The sequence below is a fragment of the Homo sapiens genome, chromosome 11 (assembly GCF_000001405.40).
Source record: "Homo sapiens chromosome 11, GRCh38.p14 Primary Assembly".
Classification (NCBI taxonomy): domain Eukaryota; kingdom Metazoa; phylum Chordata; class Mammalia; order Primates; family Hominidae; genus Homo; species Homo sapiens.
Genome location: NC_000011.10, coordinates 11,648,681 through 11,666,952, shown reverse-complemented (window position 1 = coordinate 11,666,952; position 18,272 = coordinate 11,648,681). Strand labels below are relative to the sequence as shown.

General features: G+C 42.6%; 1 non-coding gene across 1 annotated transcript; it reads left to right on the top strand.

Annotated features, from left to right (window-relative positions):
* The first annotated feature begins 10,230 nt into the window (after positions 1-10,230).
* MIR4299 (microRNA 4299) lies at positions 10,231-10,302 on the top strand. Its single transcript, NR_036184.1, has one exon. It is a non-coding gene; the product is annotated as a microRNA 4299 (primary transcript).

Sequence of the window (18,272 nt, the reverse complement as noted above, 5' to 3'; positions counted from 1 at the left end):
ACATTCCCTCAAACTTCCCATCTCCATCCCTCCATGCTCAAGGCATTAAAGACCGGAAGCTTCACCTACGGGATATGAGAAGAGCTTGCTGAACTTGTTCATTTGTTCCTTCTCAAGGATCCTTGCATTTTAAAAGGAGTCCCACCTCCACATCTCTGCAAAATTCCGTCTTTAATCTTGTGCTTTCCCTAGGCTCCGTAGGTACCCATGCGGAGAAAGAGCAGTGAATGCACCATGTGAACTCTACAGCCCTAAACAATTCTAAGGCATAACAAATATGAAGGCTGTTTCTGTTGTTCCCTTTCAAATATGCCCAGATATTATATTTTTTGAATGGTCGAAAGCACAGTTCTCACACTAACACATTTCTGCACAACAATGAGAAGATATATATTCTTTCCCATAGGATTCAAGAGAGCTATTTTCATTTTGAATGTGAAAAAATAAATTCATAAATATTTAATAACCCTCCAAACCCCCCGTGTTAGTCTGTGCAAAAAATAAAAATGTAGCTCTCCATTGGTTTAGGACACAAATATCAGCAGCATTATTTGTGCATCAGAGACGTCCTCTTTGTCCCAACAATGGAACTTCCTTTACTACCTTCCTTCTTTATCCAGCTTTTGGTTGTCCTATATTCTGAAGAATCATTTCTTCAAAAAGATCTCAGAATTTTTTTGTGTGTTCTTTTGCTCTTGAATTTCTGCTGGCCGCTCTGAGAAGTTTGGGTCTGGCTCTGGGCTGATAGTTGGTGGCTGTACTAAGTCAGGCATCTGTAAGGCTCCAGGTTTCTCAGCTCTGTCCCCTGAGCTCACGTGGTTGCAAGTGATACATTTTGGGAAGTATTTGTTAGTGGATGCAACATTTTAATGGAAATGCCTAAAATGCCAGTGTAACAGTAGCCCACCTGCTAGGAGAAGGAATTCATTACCACCCAATCTCTGGCAGTGCATACTAAATCTGTTTGATGCAAGACAGGCAAGCCCCAAAATTGGGACTTAGCCTGGGAGGGTTGTTGGCTTCACCCAGGAAAGAATTCAAGGGCCAGCGGGTGGTGTTAGACAGCAACTTTTGTTGAAGCAGCAGTGTATGGCAGCAGAGGTACTGCTCCTTGTGGAGTGGTGCTACTCCATAGGCAGTGTGCCAAGAATAGCAGCTCAGAGGCAGTTTTGCAGTCATATTTATACCCACTTTTAATATATGAAGACCAAGGGGTAGTTTTGTGGAAATTTCTAGGATGAGGGTGGTAACTTCCAGGTCACTGGGTCATTGCTGTGGAAAGGGGCAGTAACTTATGGATGTTGCCATGACAATAGTAATCTGACATGGCACACTGGTGGGTGTGTCTTATGGAAAACTGCTTTCAGCCTGATCCTGTTTTAGCTATTCCTCAGTTTGGTCCCATGTCCGAGCCCTGCCTCCAGAGTAGAGTCCTGCCTCCTGTGTCACCTTCATACTGAAGGAGCACTTAGAGCAAAAGTCTACCCAGTGAGGACAGCATTCTGGGAGCTTCCATCACTGCCTCCCCATCCCTCAAGCCACAGGCATTATTTTTCTTTTCCACAGCTGGGAAGTTTTTCCTGTCACCTTGGTGTGAATTCACTATCCAGGAGCTCACCTTGGAAGTGTATCACTTCTCACTCCTGAGAAAGGTCAGGAGGACCATTTGCCAGGGGTCTCTTCAACCCATGGGTCTCACACACAGGGGCAGTTCCTGGCTGGAGGTAAGGAGCAGAGGCTTCTTCCAGCAGGACTTATTTTGCCAGAATTTGGGGACCGATGGCATTGCAGAGCAGAGAAGCTGAGACTGAGAGAAGCCTTACCTCCTGGGCCCCCAGATGAAAAAAAAAAAAATCTTGTTTTCCTCATGCTCAATAATGGAGGAGGACACCAGAAGTTGCCTGTAAAAACTAGGTATTTGACACAGTTGTTGAGGCTGAGAAACACCTAACCTTGGGCAAAAAGGAGAGTAAGCTACAGTTTCCTTGGTACATGTGGGAGAGCTGGTCTCTGAAGTGTTAAGGGAGGGGACACATTCCTGTGTCTAGGGTGATTTGGAGGGTGGCAGGTGGAATCAGAGCCCAGAAGGAGGCTAAGCCACATATAGGTAAACATTTGCCAGTAGATGGACCATGCCTCCAATCCTGGGTCTGCCACTCCAATGGCCAAAGAATGGAGAAGAGGAGCCCATTCTCTAAAGGCACCTCCCCTGAGTGATGCAAAGCCAGGGAGTTTGAAGAGGTAGATGGGGGAGGGCAAGTTGGGATGCACAGGGTGGAACTCCAGACGCACAGGCACAGTCCCTGAATGTGCTTCTTCATCTAGCACATGTACACCAAATGGCAGCAGTCTTCTTTTGGGGAGGGGAGTTTAGAGCTGTAATGATATATTCATGACCTAAATGTAACTGGAGGTCACCTGTTCTGGTTTGCACCGGTTTCTTTTGGGTCTTAACTCCTGGCATTCTGCAAGGGGTCACGAGACTCTTGTGGCATCTGGGCTATCTGATTTCTTTAAGCAGCTGTGTCTATAGATAAAGATGCTAAAGAAGATCTGTTAAAAGTTTTTCCAATTGCTTGGATGAGGCTGGGGCTATCCCAGTGACACGGCCACCCTCTTTGGGCCATGGTGGGGTTTTCATGAGGGACCATGTGTGAAGCATGCGGCACTAGTATGGAACTAGCTGTCATTGATCTGTTGCTGTGACTTTTGAGCTCACATTGCTGTGGGTTGGCACAGAGGGGGAGGTCGCAGTAAAGTCTCCTGGCTTTATCTCACCACAAATCCTTTAGCACCTCTGAGTGGTCCTGAAATGTGAGGGGATGGCTGCCCCTCCCACCTGTAATAGAGGCAGAGAGCTCGTCTTTCTTGTATCTGGAAAGCATTGCCGAGCCTCAGATAGCTGAGCTTTGAGATACTGTTCAGCTCCTTTTGCCACCCCTTTTTGGCCAGCCTCATGGGCAGAGTGAGATCCCCATTCCTATTTGGCTGGCCACTGCTCCCTCTCCTCCTACCTGGCCCAGGTGGGCTGCTGACTTACTGCACCAGCCGCACAGGGCCCTTGATTTTCTGCCATGGGGGAAAGATCAAATGCAGACATGCAGAAACTGTGTTTCCAGCTATTAAGGAGTCGGCTTCCAGGGCGATTGGTGATAGGAAGAGTGAAATCTGGCCTGGGATTTGGTATGGTCCTGAAAATCTGCTAAAAAAAGAAACTTAATTAAACCTTGAAATTGAATGATTCCTTTATTCTCTTGAACTGAATATGTGGAACTTGGGAAGCCCCTGACTTTCTTATTGTCTGGTGTATTTCCACCCCTCTTTCCTGCCAATGTTGTTTGTACCACATTCTGGAAGTCTTTCCTACGGTTGAAATTCTTTTGAGTTTCTCTCTTGTTGCCCCGGCTGGAGCGCAATGATGCGATCTCAGCTCACCACAACCTCCGCCTCCCGGGTTCAAGCGATTCTCCTGCCTCAGCCTTCCTGCCTAGCAGGGATTACAGGCATGTGCCACCATGCTTGGTTAATTTTGTATTTTTAGTAGACACGGGGTTTCTCCACGTGGATCAGGCTGGTCTCAAAGTCCTGACCTCCCTTGACTTCCCAAAGTGCTGGGATTACAGGCGTGAGCCACTGTGCCTGGCCTCTAGGCTTGAAATTCTAATGAAAGTGGACCATGGGCAGGCTTATAACTCAGAGTTCCTCATAGATCCAGTCCTGAGGCACAGTCATGGGGATCAGCCATGGACTAGCTAAGCACTCTTGGATGATTTCAGTTCACCACCTTGAGCTCAGTTTCCTCATAGGAATAATAAGATTTACCATATTGGCACACAGTGGGTATTCAATAAATGATTTTTGAAAAAAAAAGAAATAATTAAAGTGAAAGCTGATGTCAAGTAGGTCAAAATATATTACCAAATTCTGAATTTTATCAGTTTCCTCACCTGGAAAATAGGAATAGTCATATAGCACCTACTGCATAGGGTTGCTGTTAGAATGAGGTGTTAACAGTTTGGGCAAAGAGCCTGGCAAAGTGCTTGTCATAGACTGGGTATCCAATATCTGTTTGCTGTTATTATTTTATTATTATAATTATTAGCTTTCTGGGCTTTGGGATTTTTACAATGTGGTTAATTTAAAACCAGGAAGTAAGAATTGACTACCCGCTGAGGAAAGTCCCAGCCCTCCACATCACAGCAGGCAGGAGGGTGTTACTTGTGGAGGTGGTGGGGATGGATGGAGAAGCAAGGGCCACACAGAGATAATTCCAAAAACATTATGGGCTGCTAGTTACTTTGCAAGGCAACAGTGTAGATCAATTCCAAGTGAGTCTTTTTGTTGCAAGAGGAAGGCGAGGCTAGAGGGTATAGAAAGCCTGGTACGACTGACTCCAGGCATTCTGTCCTTGGAATCCTGGGAGTGTTGCAGGGGACAAGTCTGATTTTCACCTGCAAATATAGGGTGCACGGCATTCCCCACAAATGCTTTCATTTCTAGACATAGCTGTTTGCCTTGGAAAGCAAGAACTGAAGGAGGCAAGGCTGAGCAAAGGGAGTGGCTGCTAAAAAACTTCATCTCTCTGATAGATGGAGCAGAGTTTGCAGGACCAGCGCTCTGTTAGATGATCGTCCGACTAAACCTGGTTTACATATTTGGTGTACCAGATGTCAGCTGGGATCTCCTTATCTCTTAAGCTTGGAATAAGAAAGACTTGATTCCATGATTGTGGAAGGTCCAGTTCCTCTCTAAGGTTTCTGTGATCCCTTGTGGCTTTATGTCTGCACCATGTTTACTCAGAGGTGGAACTCACCCCTTTTCTGAATGTACACACACACAAATTCACATATGGATTTGATTTGTGTGTATAGCAGACTCTATCGAAGACTTGAATAAATAAGAAAGATACATAGCTTAAAATTGGGTGTTAGATGTCCTGATCCTAGAATGTTCATTAGTTCTTTCATCAACTGGGAGTATTGCTTCTCAACCTTTTTCTCCCCTCTCTGCTTTCTTTAGTGGCCTCTCCTCTCAATGGAGCTCCTTCTGGCCACCTTTGCATACCTTTGATTATTCATGAAGGATTGTCATTGAAAAGGACCCATCCCCCTCGGGAGGCAGATGTGCTTATAACTTGCACCTCCCCTCCCTACATATTCCAAACCAGGAGGATTTCTTAACCTTAACCCATTTGTTGAAGAAGGGCAAGAAAATGTGCTCCAATCACAGGAAGATGCTTCCTCCCAAGCTGAGCGAGACAAAAGAGGTAAGAGCCATCTGTCCAGAGCCCCAGGCCTCCCTTTCCAGTCTGGAGAATGGACTGGCCAGGCTGGCTCCATTCTTTGAGTGCACCATGTGTTTGGAACCAGCCTCAGGGCCTCGCATTCTGCACACAGGGCTGCGTCTGTCATTAGGCACATCCGCTCACTGCCTCGGACTAATGAGCCTGGGTGACAGGTGGCGAAGTGCAATATTCTAGGCTGAAGGCTTCAGCAGGAGGCCAACACTCACGCTGACCAGGCAGGGGAAGAGCCGGCACCACCCTGAAAATCATAGCACTGCCATTTGCTTCTCCTCTGTCCTACCATATCATAAGAGCAGATTAAATCTGCCCTGGTTGTTGCTGTTTCCTCCTGAAGAGCAGGAGGTTGACAGCCTTCTTTTTCTAACACTTACCGAGAGCTTACTCCGCTAAGTGCTCTACCTGCATGGGCTGTCTCCACTGGTCTACACGATAATTCTATGGTAGATATTTCATTTCATAGATGAAGGGGCAGGCATGGAGGATGTAAAGTCACTTGTCCAAGGTCACAGAGTTAAATGGCTCCAGTGCCTGCTGAAGTCACTCCTCATGATAGGATCTCTGATTTCTTCCTAAGAAAAGAAGAAGGAATCGAACACTTTTGGGCATAAGCTATGGGCCTGGTGGTTCCACACGATGTTACCCTTTCTAATTCTCACTGCACAGCTCCCAGGTATTATTAGCCCCCTTTTCCAGATGAGGAAACCAAGTCTTAAAGAGAGAATCATCAGAAGTCATGTCATGATTCTGGCCACAGCTATCCTGCTTGTTGTCACTCACAGGGCAGCCACTCTGGGTTAAGCTGACTCCAGGCTCTGTCTGCCATGTGTGGATGTTAGTGGGAACCCCATCCAGTTGTGCCGGCCCATGGTCTCCAGGCCTCCCCAGCTGGCAGCTTTCAGCACTAGCCACCGTTGGGCTCAGTCCTGCCTAGGCTCTGTGCCCATGGGAGCCTGGTCTGTCACAGTGTAAATTCCCTCCCCATCAGAGAGTGACTTCTGGGGCTGGCCTGCTGCCTCATGGGACCAGGTTGTTCAGAACCAGTGAGCAGAGCAGGAGGTGGCTGCAGGAGCACTGAGCTGCAGCCTCCCTTCCTGACTCCCCCGCCAGCCTGGTCTGATTCCAGGACACCACTGAAATTCAATTCCTACATTACTAGGGCTTAGCGGGCCTGGAGACTGACCCTGCCTCTGCCTTTGATCAGGAGCTTTGATTGGATTTGAAAGTATCTTAGTTAAGCAAGGTGCCTGTCTATACAGGTTGGATACAAACAAAATCCCCAGCTCACCCATTCCCATTGCATTCCAGAATGCAGTGTTTCAATACTGTATTAGTTAGGCTTCTTCAGGAGATATGCATATATATATGCATACACACACACACACACACACACACACAGAGTTTGATTTATTTGAAGGAATTGGCTCACGTGATTGTAAGAGCTGACAAATCAGAGATCTATAGGCCTGTAGGGCAGGCTGGCAGCCTGGAGACTCAGATTAGAGTAGATGCTGCAGTCATGAGTCTGAATTCCACAGGGCAGCAGGCTGGAAACTCAGATAGGGTTTCTCTGTTGCAATCTTGAAGAGAATCCCTTCTTTGAGAAACCCCAGTCTTTGCTGTTTAGGCCTTCACCTGATTGGATGAGGCCCATCCCTATTAGGGAGGGTAATCTGCTCCACTCAAAGTCTATGATTTAAATGTAAATCACATTGAAAAACAAACACCCTTCACTGCAACATCTAGACTGGTATTTGACCAAATAACTAGGTACCATAGCCTAGTCATGCTGACATGTAAAATTAACTGTCATAAGTACCCATCTGTGACTAGCAGCAGCCGGTCCAGAAGTCCAATCTGTTCCCTCCAAAGCTCCTTGAGATGCATTAGGGATGGCCTAATGCACAAAAGCTCCCCCAGTGGCCACACACAGATGTCACTGTAAATAGCAGTAGTGGCTCTCCCCAAACATTATGCTTGGGTTGAGGGTACGTGGTCAAACTGATCAGGGCTGTTTGGATTAAAGATCTGAAAATTCCCAGGCCTAAGGAGGTAAATTTTGCCATGGCATACCTGTGAAACTAGAAGCACAATGTCACTGGCTGTGTACAATGTCATTTAGGAATTAAACAGTTGAGCCTCACCAGCAGAAAGCAGGTAAACAATCCTGAGGTGACACCTAGTGCAGCAGTGGCAGTGAGGACCTCTACCCTGGCTGCCACCTCAGTCAGCAATCCATGGCATTGGGTTCCACTATGGGGTCCTGCTCTCATGGGCTCAACTCCAAAGAGAGAGCACTGTTGGGTTTTGATGCTTCAGCTCCTGGTTCTAGTTGTAGCAAGGTGCTCTTCCAGAAAGTGTTTTATCTCCTTGCCTATGAAAGAAGCTGGCTGCTGCTCTCTGCACAGGCGGTGGTAAAATGTCACATTTCTTAATATAGGTGACCTGAAGGAGCAGATTGTCACAAACGAGAATGTAACTGGCAAGCCCTGATTGTCCCCCACAATTGTGGGGCCCAGGGAAACAGCACAAATGGAGGACCACAGACCATATGTTTAAATATTGAAGCATCATAAGTCATGCTAACATACTGTTGAATAAAATATGTTCTGTCCTCCTACCTGGACATATATACCTGCATAAGCACCTGGAAGGCTGGTTTGAATTTAGAATCCTCATTCTCCTCTGAGTTCTGAGAATACGCATTGCAGAGAGAGCGAGTGCATGGTCCCCAGACTCCAGACTGCCTCACTTTCTCTTCCTGCTCCTGGCTGCAACCCATGGAGGCTTTGCAAGGGGCCAGTGCATGCACACAGGTAGACATCTCAGCTTGCATGTTGAAGCTTTGCCTGTAGGTCCTGCAAGCAGCTGCTTCTTGCCCACTTCAAGCCTAGACATGTGCACACTATTGGAGTGGTCTAATTTTTGAAGGATAAGTCCAGGGAAGAGGCCATCACAAGTCTGGGAAGCAGACTCAAACTGTTTGGGCAAAGAATTTAATCCAGGATACCTAGAGTATAGTTTGAATGGAGGGTGTGGGGGAAGGGACAATGGGATGGGCTCATCGTGTTGGCTCCATGACTTTGCTTCATGGAGAGGGGCATGGCCTGGAAGGGCCAAAGCAGGACTCTCTAAAATCTGGGAGCCAGGGCAGGGACCCCTCTGGCCTAAGAGTGGCCTTGTACATTGGACTAATCCCTTAGATGCTAGATCAGGATGTGCTTCTTGCTTTCTGAGTACTTTTTGTGATTTGATGTTCAATATCTGTTTCCATGGTTATCGCCTCCTCGCTCATCCTTCTCAGCTCCTGTTTTCTTTCATCACTAATCTTGGAGATTTTCCTAAATGTGCTCTCTATATTGCAGATGATATTTTTTGGAGGGTCAATTTTGCTAATCATTGTCATTTATTGTCCTTTAGGGCTATTTAAAATGTTTTGCTACTTTATTTTTATTCCATTGTAACTTTATGTCTTTTAAATTTCATCCAGTTCCCTTTGTTTTCCAATTTTTAACTCAGCTGAGTCTTTATTTGTGATTCTTTTAGTCTACCTTACAGAGACCAAGAATCTTTCATGATATTCAAACATCAAGCAGGCTTCTAAAAATTTATTCTGTCTCTGATAGTAAATAGTTTTTTAAAGAAGATAATTTTGATTTTTCTTTTTATTTATTTCTATTTTTTTAGAGACAGGGTCTCACTCTGTTGCCCAGGCTGGAGTGCAATGGTGTGATCATAGCTCACTGCAGCCTTGAACTCCTGGGCTCCAGATCTTCCTGCCTCAGCCTGCTGAGTAGCTGAGATTACAGGTGGGCACCACTGGACCTGGCTTAGTCATTCATTTTTGAGAGGAAGTTAAACAGACTTTCTTTCATTTTGCTGACAGTTTAGTCCCTCTAGGGTCCTGGCATCTCGCCCTCACACATCTTGACATGCTGGGTGGCCTGAGGAGTGTGGTCTCTGCTCTAGTGTGCAGAGACATGGCACCCAGGGGCCCTGGCTTCCCTGGGTCACTATGCAGATGGCTCAATGTGAGCCGTTCTTGCTCTCTTTCAGAATTCTTTCTTGCGCTGCTAGTAAGGAAACAGGTGCTTTCCTCCTGGGCTGGCTGGAGCACTCCGTGTTTCCTGAGCTGGATAGATGTCATGGCCACATGTCATGTAGACCCTTCCTGGAACACAACACAAACTCGGTGACTTAAACCAACAGATATTTACTGTCTCATAGTTCTGGAGGCAGAAATCCAAAATTGAGGTGATAGCAGGATCATGTTCCTTCTGATCCTGTAGGAGAGAATCTTTCTTTGCCTCTTCCTAGCTTCTGGTGCTTTGCCAGCAATCCTTGGCATTCCTTGGCTTGGAGCTGCATACCTCAGTCTCTGCCTCGGTTGTCACATGGTATTCTTCCCTTGTGTACCTGAGTCTCTGCAGCTCTTCTCTTCTCACAAGGACACCAACCATATTGGACTAAGGGCCTACCCTACTCCAGTATGACTTGTTTTAAGAAATTACATCTGCAATGACCCAATTTCCAAATAAGGTCACATTCTGAGGTATTGGGGGTTAGGACTTCAACATATCTTTTTTGGGGACCCAACTCGATTTATAATAAGTAATGTTGTAGTGGGTGTCAAAATGAAGGTTTGGGGATATCATTAAGAGGGTAGGGCTAATTCATGGGGAATTTACGGTGCATTTAACCAGGAATCCTGGTAGGTTGTTGGGTGGTTGAGGAGTCAAAGTGAGCTTTGGGTTCTGCTATAATGACATGATGGCCAGGAACACAGGCCTGCCTAGATGCCAACCCTTCTTCCCACTAGATTATTCTCTAAGGAAGGTGCCCACAAGGAACAATGGTCAAATAGGAAACAAAACACCACCTACAAAACTGATCAAGCCTATTAGTAAAATATGGTCCATTGATTGTTTGGGTTCTGACCAATCATGTTACAGTGTTTTCTCCTTTAGAGAGAGCTGGTGACATGAGAGGCAGAAAAAGGACCATGGTGGGGAGGCCCTGATGTGAGAAGGTTGGTGGCAGGCAGGAGAACTCTAGCCACTAGTTTGAGGGTCTCTACTTTATGGAAGCATAGGTCTGAGAAAGGGGTTCTAGGTGATGATAGCCCTGTTCTTTGAACCAGGGTACCACATGAAGTTTCAATCTGGGCACGGGGATGGGTTCAGAGGTGCTCAGTACTGTATGCTGAATCTGCATCTGTAAGTCAGAGGAGACCAAGACTTCACTCCAGAAGCTGGGCTGGGAGCTGATTAAATCTCTCTTCCAACCTCCAGTTAGAATAGAGAGAGGCATACATGTATCCAAATGCAGTGTGTGTGGTTGTGGGGAGATGGAAGGGAAGGGAAGCCCAGATCCAGAGACTGGAAATCGAGTGAGAACCTGCCCTTTTGTCAACATGTTCCTTCTGTCGAGCATTCTTTATATGGTCCACAGTTTTCATCACTTGTTCAGTCATTCTGTGTCTCTCTCTATAGCTGTCATACTCACTTGGCAAAACTCCAAGCTGAATGTACTCAACCCATTACCTGCCAGAATTTGAGCAACTGTATGTTGCTGGAGAAAATCACACAAACTGAGAAGCTTCTTTTTAAATGCATAATCTCAACCCACCACTTGGTATTCAAACTGTAGTTAATAAACTTGCTTTTCCATCATTTAGGATGCTATTTCCTACCTTTGCCTATCTTCTCAAATTCCCTACTCCATTCCTGCACCCTTCACTCTGATCTAATTATCCTGTTTCAATTGTATTTAATTAAAAAAATTAGAACCATCAGCCATAAATGCCCCTAGCTTACATCTGAGTTCATTTGGGTCTTCTGCTTCTGGTCCTTCTGGTATAAAGGTGAAAATATGCTGTTCCCACCCCAGTTCCTGGAGCTGGATACTCCTGGAGTTCTAGATCCTGTCCTTTCTTACCTTCTCAAGGTTTTACTCCTCTGGCTATCTCCTATTCATCCTAAATTACCAATCCTACCCTCTTCTCTAGGGCTAGTCTCTTCAGTTCACAAACACGATTGACATTCCCTTAAGCCTAAAAGTCCTTTTTTGATTCCTTCATCCCTCTTCAGCTACTGCCCATTTCTCTGCATCGCTTCACAGTTTAACATCTCAAAATAGCTGTTTACATACTTGTTCCATGGTTTAAGCCTTTAATTAGTTTTCAGACTCTCGAGTTGGGTCTCTGACTTTAACACTTCACCCAAACTTCTTGTGTCAAGGTTACCAACAATCTCCAGGTTGCCAAGTCCAATGGACAATTTATACTCTCATTTTGCTCAGTTTCTCACTTGAGTTGTATCCCAGTGGCCACTCCTTTATTTGACAGTCCACCTTTGGTTTTCTTCCTTTCTCTAGATCTCTGACAATTTCATCCCAGTCTCTTTTATAGGTGCTCTTCCTGTACCAATGTCTACATATTGCTTTTTTTTTTTTTTTACAGTGCTTATTCTGTCTGCACTCTCTTCCTAAATGATTTATTTTCATGGCCCAAGATATCATCTGCATGCTGATGTTGTCTAAATTTATATATCCAGATCAATCTCTCCTTTGACCTTTAGATACACATATCCAACTTTCTACCTGCCCTTGCTGCCCTCACTCCCTCCTCCTTCTTGTGGTCCTCAATGTCTGTTGTTCATATCTTTATATTCATGTGTTTTCAATGCCAGAACAGAACTCTTGATTTTCTTTCCCCTGTAGTATCTTCAACCAGCTCCTCTCATAGTTTACCTATTCATTTTAGTAAATGGCAAGACTCTCCACCCACTTGCTCAAGCCAAAAATGTAAGTCTTATCCTTTATTTCTTCATTTTGTTGTTGTTTTTTTTTTTTTTTTTTTTTTGAGACAGAATCTCTCTCTGTTGTCCAGGCTGGAGTGCAGTGGTGCTATCATAATTCACTGCAACCTTGACCTCCTGGGCTCAAGAGATCCACCCACCTCAGTCTGCTAAGTAGCTTGGACTACAGATGCACACCGCCTTGCCTGGCTAATTCAATGTCTTTTTGGTTTGTTTTTTTTTTTTTTGTAGAGAGGGGTTCTTGCTATGTTGCCTAGGCTGGTCTCAAACTCCTGGGTTCAAGTGATTCTTACACCTCATCTTTTTAAAAAATCAATAAATCCTGTCATTTCTATCTCCTAAGTATATCTTAAGTCTGTCTGTTGGCTTCTGTTATTCCTCACTAGTCTAAGCCTTCAGAATCTTTTTCTTGGACTATGGCATTAACCCCTTTACTGGTCACCCTACTTGTTCTTAAGCTCCCTTCAAATCTATTTTCACAAAGTGATCTGAGGAATCTGTAAAAAAAAAATCAAATTACATTTTTTCCTTACTTTGAAAACTCTTCAGCAACTTCCCATTACACTTTTCATATTGAAATATAATTTATATACTATAAAATGTGCAAATCTTATTTTGTCTATTCAGTGAGTTTTCATGATTATATACACCCAAGTAGGCACTAGTGAACACAAGGCTGTCTTGTAATAGTAGTCTGTTCCTTTTTTATTTGCCTAACAAACAGTAATCCATTTTATGGACATACCACTATTTATTTGTCTATGCTCTTATTGATGGACAATTAATTTTTTTTCCAATCTTGGACTATTATAAATGATGCTGCTATGAATGTTCATGTATAAGTCTCTGTGTAAACACATGTTTTCATTTCTTTTGGGTAAATAGTAGTGGAATTGCTGGGCTATGTAGTAAATTTATATTTAACTTTTAAAGAAACTGTCACATTGTTTTCCAAAGTTACTATATTTTCACTATGTTTAATGTAAAATCCAAACTCTGTACATGGCCCCAACTCTCTTTTCCCCCTCATCTCTCCTCTCCATTTCCCTGCTCCACTTAGTTCGTTAAACACATGAACCTCTTTCCTACCTCCAGGTCTCATCTATGCTATTCCATCCAGCTGGTTCCTGTACCACTCACTCCTTATCCTTCAGGCCTCAGAGAGCCTCATCTGCCTTCTCTCATTTGAGAAGTTTCCCTCCTATTATTGCCTATCATTGTTTCCTGTTCATTTCTTTCATAGCACTAATCACTCATTTATGGTTATTTTTGAGTTTATTGACTTATTTTCTTCTCTCTTCTCTGCTACATTGTGTCATCTTTGAAGGTAGGACTGTGTCTGTTTTCCTCACCACTGTGTACCCAGCTCTCAGCACAATGCCCGGTGTGGAGTAGGTGCTTAACAACTATTGGCAAAATGAACTGATATCTATTGGTTTGTCTTTAGATTGCCTTATAAATGCCCCTCAATTGGGCAAGGATATCCTCCAGGACTGCTACCCACTTTAAGAAATTAGTGCCAAGGAAAGAACATAAAATTTTATTCTAAGAAATCTGAAAACATTTCAAATAAATGTGCCTATTCATTTATATAATTGTATAGAGCTCTTCCCAAAAGCTCTCATTCTAAGTACTTCAGTAAAATAGAATAATGAGTCAGAGCGTTGAGAGGAGATAAATGCCTTGGAACTTAAGGTCTTGGGAGAATCAAGAACAACACCCTCAGTAAGGCTTCTCTATGAAGAGGAGTGCTGATCCAAGGGGAGAGAGTAAGTCCATCATTAGAAACTGGGACACCAGGCATAAGCCTGGGAGATACACTGTTAGGTTGAATATAGGCCCTTCTTACACAAGGAATGAAGTCTGTTTTATATTGCTGTAAAAAGGGTTCTTTGGCTAAGTGAAGGTAGCTTCTGTTTGCCTGGGTTCCCAAATATACATACCTCTTTAAGGAATCATGTTCCTGACTCTTTCTCTCAGAGATAGCCTAAGAAGATGGGAATGAGGTTGAATATAAAAACAAGACAGAACCCATGGTGCTTCTTGCATAAAAGGCAGCCCAGAAGGTTGGATCAGGAGTAGAGCAACTGATCGATAAAGGAATATTTTATTTGTTTCCAAGATAGTATGTTTTTGTTCTTTCCAAAAAGAAGGATTTATTCTAGTTATTCTAAATGGGCAGGGGAGAAACTGGCCTCCCTGGGAACCAAGTTACATCAGAGAGAATTCTAAGTCTAGAAGTAATAGAAATTGACTATGAGTACTTAAACAAGAAATGGAGATTTATTGAAAGGATAGTCAACAATCCTAGGACTGAAGAAAGAGCTGGAAATCAGACCCCTGGAAGGCTAGAAACCAGGGGAGCTCCAAGGATCTCAGCTGCAGAAACTTATCAACCTTTTTTTAAGGAACTACTATCTAATGACTTATATTAAAAATTCCTGCATGGGAGAGACTGACCTGTATTGTGGGTTGTATTCCTATTTCATTGGGCTGGGGGTGGAAGCCTGGGATTCCTAATCCCATCAGAGCCACAGTGAGTAGAGAAAAAGCCATTTCACAAAGGAATTAATGTAGAGGAGGCAAAACAAACTATTTGCTATTTTGGTAGTGGTAGAGGTATAAGTAACCAGATTAATTAATTCATTATTATCTCTATCAACATTTGTATAATTCAGTCATGTTACCATGAGCTGGGTTACACAGATGAAATAAAACACACTGCTTACCCTTAAAGAAGTTACTGTGCAATATTGAGAGACAATTAAGAAGACACTCGCAATTGTTCAAGTTATGGCTCCTTTGGTTGCAACAAAACAGAAGTCATTCAAAGTTACTCAAGTAAGGAAGTATGCTTATTGCAAGGATATAGAGCTCTCACAGAATGAAAGGACAAGAAATCAGGGCAGCTGAACACCAGGGGAGATGAGAGAAACAGAAGCAGCTGGCTACTACCTCTATTTCCCTCTCCTGGGCCACAGGCTCGTCTCTCCGCTCTACTTATTGTCAGCTCCACTTTCCTTTTTCAGAAGAATAGCTTCCTCCCTTTACTCATCAACTTGAAAATGGCTATCATTACTTTCAATATACAGGACCTTCTCACCACCAACTGTTGGCAATCTCATGTCTTAAATCAAGTTCTTAGGATAGAATCTGTTCAGCCCTGCTCATCTCTTGGTGCAAGGTCACACAAAATCAGATTTCTAGTCAACTGACATTGGCTACTTTTGGGTCAGGTGGTCATCACTACTTCAATTCATCCCTAGCTGTGTGTGTGCACATTTCTTTGGGTGGAGGTTGGTTAGAAGGGGATATGTATGTGAAGCTGTAGATAGGGAAGGCTGTATGGAACATTTATTTTACAACATATATTTACAACGAATTGAAGGAGATGCATGCCTGATGTTGAAGTAGAGACAGGCCTGTTGCATCCATGCTTTGGATGGTGTTTAACAAAGAGGAGAAGAGGAGAGTTGGGATGGAAACTTGGTGAGGTAATAGAACAGAAGGGAGGTGTGTTGAGCATCTGTTGCATTTGCCAATCAAACATCCCTTCTGTTTTTGACTTGCAATGTATTGCATTTTACCATTGGTGTTCACCATGTCCAGAGTGTTCATCATGGTGTCCAGTTTCCCTGACCACAGGCTGGCTAGATTACTCCACCCACGAAGGTCATGATTGGATGAAAGGTGAGCAAGTGGGACAAACAGATTCTTCTCTAAATTTTGAGATAAGCTTCTTATTAATGAAAGGTTCTTTCTCTTGCCTGAGGTTGGGAGCTGTAATAATAGTATAAACCACACCCATTTGTGGCCATTGTCTTCAGCACCTGGAGAAGCCTTCTTTATTCTGGGAGAGTGAAGCCAACAAGCAAATAAAAGCAGACTCAAGAGATAGAGAAAGGATATAATTACATTGGTTGAATGCTTGTATTTTCTTGGAACTGGACTTCTCAACTGTGTGAGTATCAATGTTTGAATAAGGTTTCTGTTACTTACAACCAAAGAGGCCTGCCTAATACATCTTGCCATTTTATTCAATCTGACAATCTGCTTTTAATTGTGGTGTTTAAATAATTTACATTTAATGTAATTATTGATATGACTGGGTTTAAATCTACTGTGTTATTTATTTTCCTATTTCCTACCTATTTTTTATTCCTTCTTTTTTGCTTTTCTTACATTATTTTCATGATTCCATTTTTTTGTCAGTTTATTAGCTATACCTCTATTTTGCTATTAATTGCACTAAAGTTTATAATATATATCATTAACTTATCACAGTCTGCCTTCAAATAATATTATACCACTTCATGTATAGTACAAGAACCTTCTCCCATATTTTATACTATTGTCACATTTTACTGCTATATATGATATAAATCCCATGACATGCTAGTATTATTTTTGTTTTAAATAGCCAATTTTCTTTTGAAGAGATTCAATGATGAAAAAGTGTTTTTATATTAACCCACATATTTCTCATTAATGGCACTCTTGATTCCAAATTTAGACGCAGATTTCTATTTGGTATCATGTTCCTTCTGCCTGAAGAATTTTTTTTACAATTTCTTATAGTGAAGCTCTGCTGGTAACACATTTTTTTCAGATGTTGTTTGTCAGAGAAAGTATCTATTTCATCTTTCATTTTTGAAATGTACTTTTGCTGGGCATAAAAATTTATTTGAGTTTTATTGTCTTCTGGTTTGTACACTTTCTGATGTGAAATCTCCTTTCATTCATATATTTGTTTCTGTGTACATAATGTGTCTTTTTTCTCTATTTGTAAGAATTTTTTATCAGCATTTATAGCAATATGATTATAAAGATATAAAGTGGCCTGTTGAATTTTTTAAAGTTTATTCTCCTTGATGTCATTTTACACATGCTTATAATTTATAGTTATAAAATTTGGAAAGTTTTTCACCATTATTTCTTTAAATATTTTTCTATCCCCCTTCCTTTTCCAGAATGCCAATTACACATTGTTAAACCACAATAGAATGGATAGAAATGGTTCCAAAGGTCACAGAGACACTGCTCATTTTTTTCCAATATTTTTACTCTCTGTGCTTCAGTGTGGATAGTTTCTATTGCTATGTCTTTTTCTTCTGCATTGTCTAATCTATTCTCAGTCTCACCCAATGATATTTTTTAAAAATTAAATTTTTTATATTTGGAAGTTTCATTTGGATCTTTTATATATTTGTTAGTTCTCTCTCTGTCATGGTCATGTTTTCTTCTACCTTCCTGAACATATAAAGCAGTTTGGAATAGCCATTTTAATATCCTTGCTTGGTATTTCTATCATCTCAGTCATTCTTGGGTTTATTGGCATTGATTTTTCTCTGGTAATGGGCCATATTATCATACTTCTCTTCACATCTGGTGATTTTTGATTGAATGACAGACATTGTGACTTCTACATCATTGAGTATAGGATTTCATTGTATTTTTAAAAAATGATGTTGGGCTTACTTTTTTCTGTCATGCAGTTATATTCCTTGGTAGTAGATCCTTTCCAGGTCTGATGTTAAGCTCTGTTAAGGTAGATTCAGGGCAGCCTTTGGAATAGGGTAAATTTAGGTGATAGCCTTCTGAAGACTCTAGCTGATGTCTTTTGCATTTTGAGGTCTTTCTACTACGGCTGGTAGCAACATGAACTATTCTCAGCCCTGGGTGAGCTTTGAGAGTTGTTAGCCTACTGCTTTCTGGTGGCTCTTTCACCAGCATCAGGCAGTTTCATCTTATGCATGTGCAGTTTAGTACCCAGCCAAAGACAGAAGGGACCTTCACTGCAGATCTCTGGAAAAGTGTCTAAGCAACTTCCTTCTCTCTGATACTGTCTCTGACAAATTCTAGACAAAGTGGCCTTTCTGAACTCTGATTTTTGTCTTCGCCACTAATCAAGGCCACCAGGCTCTGTTTGGGATCCTTGTTTTTGCATGCAGCCTGGAAGCAGCCTTTGGCAGTGTGCTAGGGCAATTGTGGGGCTCAGCATATTTGTTTCTCTTCTCACAGAGGTCATGGTCTTGTGCTGCCTTTTGTCCAATGTCTGAAAATTGCTATTTCGTATGTTTTTTTCTGGTTTTATAGTGTTCAAAGTTATAGTGTTCAAAGTTAGGTGGTAAATTCAATCCCTGTGACTGAAT